The 14,608-nt window shown below is 35.4% G+C and overlaps 1 protein-coding gene across 47 annotated transcripts in view; it reads right to left on the reverse strand.

Annotated features, from left to right (window-relative positions):
* Positions 1–14,608, reverse strand: part of PIGN (phosphatidylinositol glycan anchor biosynthesis class N) — a 169,442-nt gene that overhangs the window by 117,406 nt on the left and 37,428 nt on the right. For all 47 annotated transcript variants that reach the window (XM_047437461.1, XM_047437431.1, XM_047437439.1 and 44 more), the window contains 7 exons: positions 13,194–13,318; positions 11,951–12,081; positions 10,889–11,005; positions 8,286–8,326; positions 5,400–5,459; positions 3,963–4,055; positions 3,223–3,278 (listed from right to left, as the gene is read on the reverse strand). In XM_047437461.1, the coding sequence (XP_047293417.1) occupies positions 3,223–3,278; positions 3,963–4,055; positions 5,400–5,459; positions 8,286–8,326; positions 10,889–11,005; positions 11,951–12,081; positions 13,194–13,318 (623 nt within the window). The remainder of the gene's footprint in view (positions 1–3,222; positions 3,279–3,962; positions 4,056–5,399; positions 5,460–8,285; positions 8,327–10,888; positions 11,006–11,950; positions 12,082–13,193; positions 13,319–14,608) is intronic.

Consider the following 14,608-nt stretch of genomic DNA (forward strand, 5'->3'; position numbering starts at 1 on the left):
TCACTTCCTATTCTAATTTGGAGGATCTGCCTCTCATTTGGACCATTCTTATACAACTTATCTTTAAGTTTTTTGTTGCATTCTTATGAAATATTTATTTTCTTATTAAATGTAGAAGTTATTTTTAATGCATCTAGTACCTTTCTACATTTTGCAAAGTTAATGCTGCTTTTGTTTTATGGATGCAATAGTTTCTTAAATATTTCTGAGAATTTTAATGTTTTTAGGTTTGGTTCTGTTCCTTGAATTTCATATGACCTCAAGAGTCCATTTCTCATGTTATCTTAGATTTTTTTGACCATATTGCAGGCTTTTAGCAAGTGGTGATTTTTAGCCAGACAGGTCTACAGGCAGGGCTGGTCACTATGCTCTAGAGTGGGTGAACCAGTACATGGGAATCAGCCATCCCGCCAGACCCCCAGAGGACACAGTGGCTTTGAATATGTATGTGCAGGCAGACACTGAACATCAAAATAGGGGAAGTCTATGATCAGTTACCATGCCACGTGGAAAAAGGGGTAGCAGTGTGCACCTGAACCCTTGACGAAGAGTCCTTCCCTAACTAGCCTTTCTTTCTTTTCTTTTGTTTTTTCTTTGTCTTTTTTTTTTTTTTTTTTTTTTCAGACAGGGTCTCACTCTGTTGCTCAGGCTGGAGTGCAGTGGTGGGATCTTGGCTCACTGCTGCAACCTCTGCCTCTCTGGTTCAAGTGATTCTCATGCCTCAGCCTCCCGAGTAGCTGGGATTACAAGCAGGTGCCACCATGCCTGGCTCATTTTTATATTTTTTGGTAGAGACAGGGTTTCACCACACTGGCCAGGCTCCTAACCAGCCTTTCTAAAGTGGCTGGTCTAAAGTAACCCTCACTTATTCTCACTCTCAACAGCCGGTGTATTTTCTTCATAAAAGGAATTGATAATGTATTCCTTATTCACTTCTTCATTTGGTTATAGTTTGCCTGTGACACTACTGTACAAATAAACTCTATGAATGCAAAGCCTTTGTCTATCCTGTTCACTGCTATATCCGCAAAACACATACTAGTCAATCAATATTTCTTGAAAAACATATGAACATTTATATATTCCTCAGAACCAATTCCATTAACAAATCTCAATTCTACTATACTACAATAAAAGAAAATTAGAATTAGCATAAGAGATGTAAATAACATAATATCCTAATGATATATTTAGGGTAATCAATTTTATATGATTATAACTTGCAAAATCCTAATTTCATTTTATTTTTACTCTCCTATACACATATATATACACACATAAAAACTCAAGTATACAACCACAGTATTCAGAGGGTAATGTAATATTTATGCCTTTCTTTTATTTTTGAGATGGAGTCTCGCTCTGTTGCCCAGGCTGGAGTGCAGTAGTGCGATCTCAGCTCACTGCAACCTCTGCCTCCCGGGTTCAAGCGATTCTCCTGCCTCAGCCTCCCAAGTAGCTGGGACTACAGGTGCCCGCCACCATGCCCAGCTAATTTTTGTATTTTTAGTAGAGACGGGGTTTCACCATATTGGCCAGGCTGGTCTCAAACTCCTGACCTTGTGATCCGCCTGCCTCGGCCTCCCAAAGTGCTGGGATTATAGGAGTGAGCCACCGTGCCCGGCCGCCTTTCTAATTTATGAATATCACACTAGTGCAACAGAAGTTGTCAAAAATAACTCCAATGAAGTCATTCAATCACATCCTTAAGATTCATAGATAAAACAATTTCTATTTAATTGGTCAATAGCAAAATCCTTGCTAATTGAATGTGAACCTCAAAGATGCAAGCCCACATATGCAGTCAGTAGTGCAGAGCCAGGTCTGTGATCTAGATCTTCCCTTTCCTGATGCAAGGAAAACACATCTTCCTGGACCTGGGACAGCAAAATCTGCTGCTCACCAAAGTCAGCTCTCTTCTTTGCCTACTGTGATGGTTAATATTGAGTGTCAACTTGATTGAAGGATGTAAAGTATTGTTCCTGGGTATGTCTGTGACATTGTTGCCAAAGGAGATTAACCTTTGAGTCAGTGGAGTGGGAGAAGCAGACCCACCCTCAAGTGGGCATCATCTAATCAGCTGCCAGCACAGCTAGAATAAAGCAGGCAGAAGAATGTGGAATGAGCAGACTTGCTGAGTTTTCCAGCCTCATATTTCTCCTGCGCTGGATGCTGCTTGCACTTGAACATCAGACTCCGAATTCTTCAGCTTTTAGACTCTTGGACTTACACCAGTGGTTTGCTAGGGGCTCTCGGGCCTTTGGCCACAGACTGAAGGCTATACTGTCAGCTTCCCTACTTTTGAGGTTTTGGGACTCAGACTGGCTTCTTTACTCCTCATATTGCAGACGGTCTATTCTGGGACGTCACCTTGTGATTATGTGAGTCAATACTCCTTAATAAACTCCCCTTCACATATACATCTATCCTATTAGTTCTGTCCCTCTAGAGAACCCTAATACACCCACCCAGTAGAAGCTGATGTCTCCCAGAATTCTAGAGCCTCCTACATGTGTAGCAATTCTCCTGCCTCAGCCACCCGAGTAGCTGGGACTATAGGCATGCACCACTATGCCCGGCTAATTTTTGCATTTTTACTAGAGACGGGGTTTCACCATGTTGCCCAGGCTGGTCTCGAACTCCTGAGCTCAAGAGATCTGCCTGCCTCAGCCTCCCAAAGTGCTGGGATTACAGGAATGAGCCACTGCGCCCAGCCTATCTTTATTCTCACGGCTTCAAAATCTTCACAAGCAACATACATCTTCTGAGACCCAAGCCCCTCTTTCTAATTAATTAACTGATATCTTCAAATGTAAGTTGAACTTAGTAACATTCATCTTTGTCTCCTGAACTAGTTCTTCTTTCAAAAAGCCATATGGTACCAGCATCTTCCTAATCAACCAAGCCAAGTGCCAGGAAGTCACACTCGTTCCTGCCCCCACACCTTCCTAGCCAACCAGTCAAGCCCTGTGGAGTTCACCTGCTTAATATTTCTCATGTATCTCTCCATTCCCTCATCCCTCTTCCAGCCATTCAAAGTTATCTAGCACCTGGCTCATTATTTAACAACAGCAATAGAAGAGGATTTCAATTTGGAGTTTACACTAATGTATATAAAATGGCAAACTGTATAAGTAAACTAATCCTATCACTCAGTGAAAAATTGCAAACTCAGTGGAAAATTCTTTCCTTCAAGTTAATAAAAAAATGTAAGGGACTTACTTAAATGGTGTAAACAAAAATGGTAAAGTAACTTCTTTCTTCTGAGTCATTTTCACCTGGGAACCAAGTATGAAAATATTACAAATGAGAAAAATAATGAATTCCATTTTGAAATATAAACATCCATTAAAATGATTCTTTAGGGATGGTTAACCACTTTGAAAATAAATGGAATTTTATGTTACTATATTGTTTCATAAATATTTAAAGAAAAATTTAACATTTTCTTACTATCTCAATAAGCTGAGAATTAAACATATCAATCTTGCAAAGTAACATACTGTAATTAAAACTGTACTTCCTTAACTCTGAAAATAAAACAAGCCAAACCGCTTATTCTTAAAAGCATTAAGAATAACAGAAGGTTTTAGTCAAAGGGTCACCTCTTTAAATTCTTAAGGAATCTCATAACATACATGGAATGACAAGAAATGTTGCAATCTCTAATATGATTTCTATGGGGCAAATTCTAATAGTTAAAGAATTGACTTGTAGTCTTTGTAAGCATATGTGGTAATCTTACATGCAGTCATACTCCTCAAACACAATTTTATGTCCTCAGACTGAGCCATAGAACCTACCCTTCAGAAATGTGAAACACAAGTCAAATACATAAAATTTAAAGGTAAATTACAGGGAAATAGTTAAAAACAAAATCAAATATTTTCCCTAAATATATTCAATATTTAAATTGTAGTATTGTCCATTTTTGTGCGTGCCTTTTTGAATTTTTTTTTTACCTTGAACTGTTCAAGAATCTGTACTGCATTTGTAAACATGCTCTCTGCTTTGAAGAGATCAGTGTTGTTAAGATAATCCACAGGAAGGATTCCCTGAAAATAACAAACACCAGCTTATTGATAGTATTCAGACAGCTCAGGCTATCCTTATAAAACAAAACAGACTTAAAAGCAATAAAGATAAGGCATATGGACAAATAAATAATTGAAATAGTTAAATGAAAAATCTTTTTAAAACTATAACTGAAAGATGTTCTATTATTTTTCTCACAAAGTAGATGTATTAAGGTAAGCAAAGCAAGAGATGAATTAAATTCAGTAACACCTGGCATTGGCTGAGAGATAACTACGTGCTAGGTAGTGAACTGAGTGCTTCACGCACAAAAAACAATTACAATGGTAGGCCACAGCCAGCATACTTAAAATAAAAGACTTCAGACATATCAGAGTGTACTGTACATAATAAGAGTAAGGACTATTCTGTTAAACTTTTGTTTCATTATACATATACACAAACACTATGACTGTCGGGGTCATATTACTTAGCATTCTGGGTTAAATAACATTATTTTTTAAGAGTACATTTGATTTCGAAGAGCTAATAAGAGTGGCTGGTTGAAATAGTTATTTTTTGGCATTTCAGTATCCAGGGCCCATTCTTAACAGCATTACTATTTTCTGTTGAGAAATCTTGCCCATTATATACAGCATGTTAGGTTTATAATCCAGGGACCTGCTGATTACAACCCAGGCTAGACCATCTGGAATTTGACTCCTGATAGTCAAGGGATAGAAACTAAGGTATAATGCTACTCTACCCTCATGTCAGTGCCCTGAGAACAGCTCTGCCATGGGATCATGGCTGTGGTTCCTTCTTCCAAGTCTCCAGATATCCTGGTTCCAGGTTATTACAAGGCTGGTTTTCAAGCACCACTTTGTTTCAGCAAATCACCAATATCTTTTCAATAATTTCCCTTTAAACGAAGTCAGTTTTTGCTGCTTGTAATAAAAAAATTACTTATACATTTCTATCAATTATAACCAGAATACAAAGATATAAATCATACACATTTTAGAAAATTAAAATATTTAAAGAAAAGCTATTTGGCTCATGTTCCATGTTATAGAATATAATACACAAGCAATCATGAGGTATTGCATATTTAGAAATAAATATACAGGAATATATAGTTTTAAATGTAATCAAAGATTATATAAGCTGGAAGCAGTGGTGCATGCCTGTAATCCCAGACACTTGGGAGGCTGAGATGGGAGGACTGCTTGAGCCCAGAAGTTCAAGACCAGCCTGGGCAACATAGCAAGACCCCATCTAAAAAAAAAACCCAGATTATTCAGAAACACATAAAAAAGAGTACATTTTACTGTGCGATAGTTTTTTTTTATACTGAGAGTTGATAATAAAATTTTATTCCTTACCACTGAGTTAAGAGGAAAGGGAACTCCAATAAGGGAAGTCATCAATGGTGCAATATCAGCCTACAAATAAAAAAGCTCAATTCTAAGAAGTCTATGGACATCAACAAAGAAATTAAATAATGTAATGCAACCATATTTTGGAAAATAACCATGATATTTGTTATAATCAGTTACCTTCAAACATGTATTTAATAAAAAAGATATTAATCTCTAAAAGTGTCATTTGCTAGATGTATATGAACCTATAAAAAAAATTTTGAAAAGAAACCACTAAAGGCCCTAAATGTAAAACATACTAAAACAAAAAATTACTTATCCTATTAGCTAAGAATTTGACCATTTTATGTAACAGTTTTTCAGTATTATACAAAGGATGCCTTATTTAGACATAAAATGAATATCAAGAGTAGACTTTAACTGGAGAAATGTATATATTAAGTAGAAAAACAAAGTATCAGAAGGAGGTTTGACCAGCCAGTGATGTCCAGAAAAGACATAAACCAGAGAAGAGGCTCTTTAGTCAAAAGATCCCAAATACCATTTTGGATATCTCCTCTTTAAGTTCAATTTCTCGGAAGAGTTGTTCATGCTTTTTCTATCTTCGCTTCCTCACCTTCCCATCACTCTTCTGCCCACTGTGACTCACTATGACCCTTTATCATTCCAAAGACTGCTCTCTCTAAGAGAGCTAACAACCCCATTTTCTAAATCTAATTGACTATGTTTATGTAAGTCCTTATAATTTTTCAGGCAATAAAGTACTCGGAATTGAGAATGCCCAGTTTCAAATTCTCAGGTAGGTTTTTTAACCCTCCAGTTGCTTGATTCCTTTATCAGTTAAAAAAATAAATGCAAGTTTTTCCCTTACAGAGGTGTGACAGGATTAAATGAGATAAAACTTATAAAGTACCTGGCACATAATAAGCCTGTGATAATGGTAGCTACAATTGTTGCTGGCATTACTAGGCCTTTCAGCAGTATGGCATAGGCCACTCCTTTCTTGGCCTCAACACCACACAGCTGAGTTTCTTCTATCTCACTGGCTCCTCCTTTTCAGATACGTTCGCTAGTCCCTCATTTAAAGTTGGAATTCATCAAGTTTGTTCCCAGGCTCTCAGTCTTTCTCACTTTCTACTATTTAGATTGTCATTACCAGGTACCATCCTCCAGAAAACTGGAAATCTCCAAAGTCTTCCTAGTCACCTTTTCCTTTTCCCTCAGAATCCACTGTCGGCCACCTCTAATCTCTTCTCCATGCTGCAGCCAGGGGTATTCTTTCACACACAAAAAACCACATCGTGTCACTCTCTAGGCTTCAAACTCTTCAAGGATTCTTTGAACTTTCAGAATTAAGTTCACAAGGCCCATGAGACCCTGAAGGGGCTGCGCCTCCCTTCTTCTGCCTCACACCACCCCATGGTTTCTATTGCTATATAACAGCTTTCTTCAAGACCCTTTAATACACCATGTACCCTCTCACCAGAACTTAGTGTACACATTTCCTCTGCCTGAAAAGCCCTCCTCCTACTGCCTTGGCCTGCTAATTCCTGCTTATTCATCAATCTCAGCTCATTCCTCGACTTCTCAGGAAGCCTTTGCTGACTACAGTCTATCATATACATCCACTCTACAGTCTCACAGCTGCACAAATCTCTGTTGCAGTACTTACCACAGCTATAAGTTTACATGTATTTGTACAACAGACTGATGAGTATCTGTTCTTACCCCTAAGGTATACATTTCCCAGGACAGGGATTATGTCTGCCTTAACTCACCACTAAATACTTAGACTTAGCACAAAGTTGAAACACACCACAGACACATCACAGTGTTAGTAGAAGGAATGAATAGACAAAGAGATTCTCATTTGATGGAGATTTGAAGCAGGAGTGTTTGCCAACAGACTGACAATTCAGAGAGCAATAACTGAATCTATGTTCAATTGCTGATTATGATCTGGTCTGGCTATGAATAAGGGATGTTCTTGTTTTGTGATCTTCAAGTCATTCCCGTCTTTTTGACAGTGATTTTTAATGGCAAATTAATAAACTGCTATTCTGACTTTATATGTTCATGTTCATTTACTTGGGTAGTATGCATCTATCCCAGGAGAAGACTATTCTTATTTTGCTGGGAAGAAACAAGTTTCTACAACCACAGGCCTGAAAATGAGACCCTAGACCTTGGTTTGTCCACCACAGTAAGTAATCTCAGCTTGTGTGGTGACCTGGAAGGCAAGATACTCCTGCCACTTTGGAAGCCATATCCCAATGATGCTATACCTTCTACAAATAGTGAAGATGGCTATTAAGGTAGCATGTTTTTAACAATGAAAATTCTGTGCTTCATATTTACAGACAATGCTACTGATCTAACTTTATCAGATTGGCTATACATTTTCCTCTAACAGAAGGTTTCTAGCTGAGTAATTTATAATCTCATCATTTTTTTCCCCATTGCATTTGTAAGGTTGCTGGTTAGAAGTAAAGGTAAAATATGTGTTAACAAAAAGAAAAGGTAACTGACATACTATAGGAAACAAACCCATAACAGGAATTTTAATAGATCTGTGCTTAAATTAAGCAATACAACCATGAAAAGCAATCACAGAAATTTAAGAGGCATGCAAATTTCAATTTACATAACAAATAATTATCCAATGTTATTTGGAAGAAGTCTTTTATTTTCACTTCAAGTTTTGTTTGTTTTGCCACAAGAGAGATTAGCTGGGCTAAAATATTTGCACTAAAAGAATTCCCCTTAGTAACTGAAATGTTTTGAAAAAGACTTTGTCAATATTAATATTATCTCTTTTTCATAGTTTTTGTCTAACCTTCTTATAGAAGATAAAATTAAATTTGAATGTAATAAAATCGAACTGGATACCTGATTGACATCTAGCCTCTTCCAATTCTCCAATCTCCACTCTGAAAGATACAATCAGACACAAGATCTGATGTTAAGATTTAAAAAAGAATAAATCATTTGATTTTTAGGAGTGGCCAATACTTATGGAAAACATAGGTGTTAGAAATGTCTATTTTAAGCCAAGTATGAATAAAAATCATGCTTAAAGGCAAAGGTGTATTTTTTTAAAGAATTTAAAAAAAACAAAAAGTAAATATTTGGTGTTTCCTGTGATGATTTATTAAGCTTCTTAAATGTTTACTGGGAGATAATTGTTTCAAAACATCAGAGGCTGAGGAAGGAAAGATGGAAGTGAAAAAGCACAATGGTAACAACTGTCAGCATTGACAACTCATTACAATCCTGTTCTAGAGAGTTATTAAGGCAATTCATAGGAAGTTAATTAATTCAAGCTTCTCTTTTTCTCTGTGATGGCAGTTCCTCCCAAAACACCTAAAACTGTAGTTGTGATGTTCCTGTAGTCACTAATCACAAATGTTAACATAGTATATTGAGTTATTATTAAAATTGTCTTCAAAGATAGGCTCATTCTTCCATTTTTCTACACATAAATTCAGAAATTGCATTAAACGGAAATCTAAACAAGTGATTATGAGAGACCGTCTTGATTTAATGGCTTTAGGATACACTGCCAAAAGAGTTATAAGATATTTGTATAATAAAATTTCATTCAATAAGCTAATTAAAGTTTAAAAATACGTTTCTGACTCTACCAAAAATTCACACTAATCAGTTGATGAAAAAATGCCCATTCCTTTTCTCTAAAATGTATGATATTTAATATTCATATGAGAAAAAATACATTTCTGATGATTCTTGAAATCATGTGATTCTAAAACGTCAATTCAACATGAAATCAAATGCCAAAATAAAGTTAAATCTCATAAATACAAACATACTATTTACCCTACTTTCTATTTTGATCCAATCTAATCCATTTACCACAGAGCAGTCAGAAAGGTAGCTCCTATGGCAAACTGGAATGTTGGCAATGCTCTAACAGGCTTTAATGATAGAGCACTGCACTCGGAACATACTTCATGCTCTCCTTACCCAGGATTTGGTGCCTCAAATGATCTACCTCTTGTTTACCTCTCCAACTCTCAACTCATTGTACTCTGCTCCCAGCTGACAGTGCTCAGCCACATCAGCCTTCCAATTCTGTTCCTCAAACAAGCTACGCTCTTTCTATTTTTAGCCTCTTCATTTGCTATTCCCTCTGCCTGGAACACTCCTGCCCTAACCTTCATATGAATGGCTCCCTCTTATCCTAACTGTGAAAAGATGTTCTATTAGCCCACTCTATAAAATGTATCCTGCTCCATAAGGGAAACTTCTAGGGTATAAATGTATGGTGAATCTGGATGGAGACTACATGGTATATATATGCAGGTAAAATTCATAAAGCTATACATTTAAAACCAATGCATTTTGCCTCCTTTGCCAAATATCTTAATAAAAATGTGGCAGACTGAGTCAGGCATGGTACACACCTGTGGTTCCAGCGACTTGGGAGGCTGGGGCAGGAAGATTGCTTGAGCCCAGGAGTTCCAGGCTGTAGTGAGCTACGACTGGCCTGTGAACCTGTGAACAGCTACTACATTCCAGCCCATTCCATTCCTTTAGAGACACGGCAAGAACCTGTCTCTAAGGAAACTGGCGGGGGGGGGGGGGCAGGGTGGAGAAAGGAGCCCAGTCCTACCTCCTCTTTTATCATATCACCCTAATTTTCTTCATAAAATTATCATAATGTGTAAGTTTTGTTTATAGTTGCTTTAATTCTCCTACTAGAATGTTAAGTTCTGAGAAAGCAGGGGCTATCTCAAAGATATGTAGTAGATGAAAAAAAGAGTCCACTAGCTTCTTTTTCTTTCATGCTTAAATAAATCTGGAAATAATCATGGCAGTGTACTGGTTACACTGTTCTGGCCTTTTGTCAATGTCTCCCCTGTGGACCTATGATGTGGCATGATGCTCTCCATTAGCACTTACAAATATATAAGAAATCGCCCTCTGAAAAATGCACCATTACTTACTGAAGACATGCTGTTGAGTGCATTATTCACTGTGCTCTTCTGTCTTCATTAGGGCCTGGGGTTGAAATAGCTCAGTACTACCTCTTGCTTTTTATCTAATAGAAATATCTTGTAGGTAGGGTGATTTTATAACTGACAGCATGTACTTTGTTTGGGTTGAAAAATCTCAAAAACTGATTATTTACCTCTATGAAACCTTAAATTTCCTCTTTTTTAATTTTTATTTACTCTACCTCACATTCAAATTAATAAATTAATAAAAGAACATCAAAAGTTCAGTTTATCAGTTTAGACATTCAGAAAGTCTAGTTATTAGCAGTGGTGTGCTGGGAAGGGTTCAACAAATGGCTCTGTGAGAAGAGAGAAGCCAACAACCCCTTGTAGTGTTTGTATAGAAATAGTAATGGCACAAATGTCAAAATGAGGGATTTACAACTAAAATTTGAAGAGTGATTTCTTAAAAATTTAAACTTTGTTCTTATTTTAAGAGGTTGTATTTATAAACCAGTAAAGAAATGCTTGTACCTTTCAAAAATGCATCATCAAATTGCTGAGCTGATACTCTTTGGGGATACTTGATTCCAGCTCCCCAAGTGACTAAAGGAGTTAAAGTCTCTGAAGGATGACCAGCCCCATGGGAACCTACAAATAAGATATAAAGAATAATAAGACAAATATAGAAGAACTAACTTACAACTAAATATTTTTTAAAATAGTTTGTTTTAAAGAGTTGATCCATATATAGTTAATTCTAGTGACTACATTACCAAATGGTTACAACCTTTTATGGCAATTAGTTTGACAATATTCCTATAAAGCAAGTTAGAGAAACAACAACAAACAGGCATAAAGTAAAACAAAAAACCAGACTGCCTGCTGAGTAACTATGGTTGAAAGAATAGAAATAATAACAATAAGACATGGAAGAAATGTTGCTGCTGCCAGAGCAGCACTGCAGACAGAAAGAACAGAGAGCTCCCTTGGGCAGTAACCACCCAAGCTTGGGGCAAGCAGTAGAGACTAAGTCTTTCTGGAGAAGATGGCAAGGTCTCTGGGTCCTTTTCTTCCAGGCCACTCTGGCAGGTAGAGCCAAAAGAAGTCCTTTATAAAGTGGAACTCAAATCACTAGAAATCCATATTGTGATTTGGGGACAAATCTCATCTTTGCTTTATTTTGTTCTCTGTGCACACATTGCATTTGCCTTGGGAATCTCACAGGGCGCACAGGCTTACCCGGGACAGAATTTCAGCAGCCCTCGGTCCCTCAGTAACACCATCTTAACGTCACTCCCTTTGCCATCATATACAGTTAATTCTCTGTAGATAAATAATAGCTACTTTTTATTTTCTTCTCCACTTTTCTCTAGTTTGTCATTTGTAAATGAGAATATATTCGTTTTTTAGTTAGAGAAAATATTTTTTTATAAGATCAGTTGTTTTTTAGGCTAACATTTTAAGCACAGAATTATGTGCTAGACATTTTGTATACAGCAAGACATCTAATCCTCTCAACATCATAAAATATTTACCAGCTACATTTATCACTACTTTAATTGTAAGGTACATATCAATTAAAGACACACTAACCCCAGTCTGTCATTCCATGGTCAGAGGTAAAGATAAATGTTGTTTTCCCATCATTTCCATAGAAGTGGTTAAACATAGACACGATTTCTTTAACTCCATCATCAACTTTTTTAATATTGTGCTTGTAGTCTCTATTTGTAAAGAAACAGAGGAACAAATTAAATTAATTTGGAGAAATCAAATTTATTCAACGTGGATTCATTACATTCAAAATCAGTAACTTCTGAAATGCTTTTAGATTTCATCTTTAATATTTTAAAATCAGAGTACTCTAGATTGTTAAAATAATTTTTTCTCCTTTTAATGAAGCTAAATAACCTGAAATAGTTTTCAAAGATGGCTTAAAAGGAGGGGAATGATTAACAAATATATTTTAATAAACCCTTTTTAGGTCCTAAATGAGATAGATGACGTTCATGTCTCTCACTCTTACTACATAAACTAAACTGTTTGGCCACATTACAAGTATCATTTCAAGTATAGAATATTTTCATTCCCTAAAGTGCTTTTGATATAAAATATAATATCATGTTTTGAACACATTATATTTAAGACTGCCACACAACTGAACAAGGTTCATTCGATATGAATATTCCATCAATTACAGCAGTGCATCACGTTTAAGAAGGGGATTGTGAGGTATTCATCACTGGCAGCTAACCCAATAGGCTTTACAGCCACTGTTAGGCTAATTTAAACCAAATGCAAAGTCAGAAATAAGAGTATAACATGGTATCTTCCTTTTACTTATGGTCCTCAAAAGTGAGAAAAATACTTGCTGTCATATATAAGGAGTGTTATTGAATTATGGTATACAAAAATGTATACAATTTATTTGCTAGATACAATACTAATTAAAGGGAATACACAAGGAATAAATAATTACATCTTTTGGTGATATAAAAGTTAATACCATAAAATGCTTTATATTTTCAAGATTCACTGAAAATATTTCTAAAATATATAGATATTTTAGATAATTTTTTTCTCTGCTTCAGTAAATGAAGATTATGTAATATGTACAGGATATATTTTACTTATATTAATGTGCCATCTGGATACAGCACATATGATTTAAACGACTATATTGGAAATCTCATATAATTGAGAACTTAATAAACATTACAGTAGTTGTTTAAAATATTAGCTCTGTTGTTATAATTCCAAAGAAAACTTTATAATAAAAAGTTCAATAGAATAGCTGTTGCCCTAAAAAATACAATTAAACACAATATTAAATTACCTCGAGGATGGTCGATGAGCATGTCCGTTTGTATCTATTCCTAATAAATGTAAGAAAAAAACTATTTTCTCTTCATTTATTTTAGAAAACAAAGACTGGTTGTTTCTGGCATGATGAAAGAAGTCCTACATATAACAAATGAGTTAAAAATATTTAGTTCATTTGTTTTATTTTAAAAATAATACTGATGAAAACATTTAAATTTATGCATAAGTACAAAATTAAATTATCTCACGTTGTTTAAATCTGTGCTCAAGACCTACCAACACAACGTCTTTGCTATCAGTTCAGACATCTATGTTCAAATAATGAGTTAGCTGTTTTCTCTGTTATAATAAGGCCAAAAAAAGATGTTAGAAAGGGGATCATAATTTCATAGAGATCTCATAATGTTGTTAATCCCACATCTAACTTAATAAAATACAGCAGATTGAAGACATATTTTGGCAAGAGTCAAAAATAATATAGTAATACTGTTACCAGTTTAAGAATAATTTATTTTTTTAAATATTTCAGAACTGGACCACTTTTCATTGTCCTGTGTACTATCAACCTAGTCCAACCGTAATCTCTAATGTAGAACATTGCAAATAGCCTCCTAATTACTTCCTTTGCCCCAGCTAGAATGTGTTCTTCAAATCATGTAACAGAAAAGCAACCAATTAATAAAATATTACTTGGCAGGGTGAGGCTGGGAATAATTAATTAAAATAAAATTTGAAGATTATTATGCTAATTAAATAATGATAAACTAGATTCATAAACCCTTCTAAGGCAAATGATTCACCCTGTATTCACATATGCATGAACATGGGTGCAAAACTATGAAGACTACTTTTAAATTATTTTAAATAAGTTAACAGGCTATCCAAGATACATCTTTGTTGTTCACATAAATGCCTTTAACTGTAGAAGATGTTAACTTTTAACAAGATATGTTTAACTTTTCAACAAAAGTCTGAAGTATTTAAGTATTTTTTTCAAATAACTCTTCACTACTATGTTAAAAAACACAAATGGTGCAATTAGAGAAACTATTCAAGAATAGAAATAAATTAATACAATATATAACCTATCATCCTTCTCAAAAGTATAAAATTGCCCCCTAACTTTCATATACATTCTACTTAACCCCTAAGAAAATTTAAATCTAGATAAAAACAATAAGCTCTTTAAGAGAAAAGAATTAAAAGTTAAACACATAATTGAGAGCTGAAAACAAAAAAACTGAGCAAATGACTTGAATTACATCTATAATTTGTTCTATGGCTGGTACAATATATTCAGCTATGTAATCCTTTCTGGCAGCTAGATGTGCCTATCCTATCCTTTCTTGCAGCTAGATGTGCCTTTGTGGTTTTGGCCAATGAGATTTAAGTCAAACATTTCAGTCATAAAGCTATGTGGATCTAAGG

The sequence above is a fragment of the Homo sapiens genome, chromosome 18 (assembly GCF_000001405.40).
Source record: "Homo sapiens chromosome 18, GRCh38.p14 Primary Assembly".
Taxonomy (NCBI): Eukaryota; Metazoa; Chordata; class Mammalia; order Primates; family Hominidae; genus Homo; species Homo sapiens.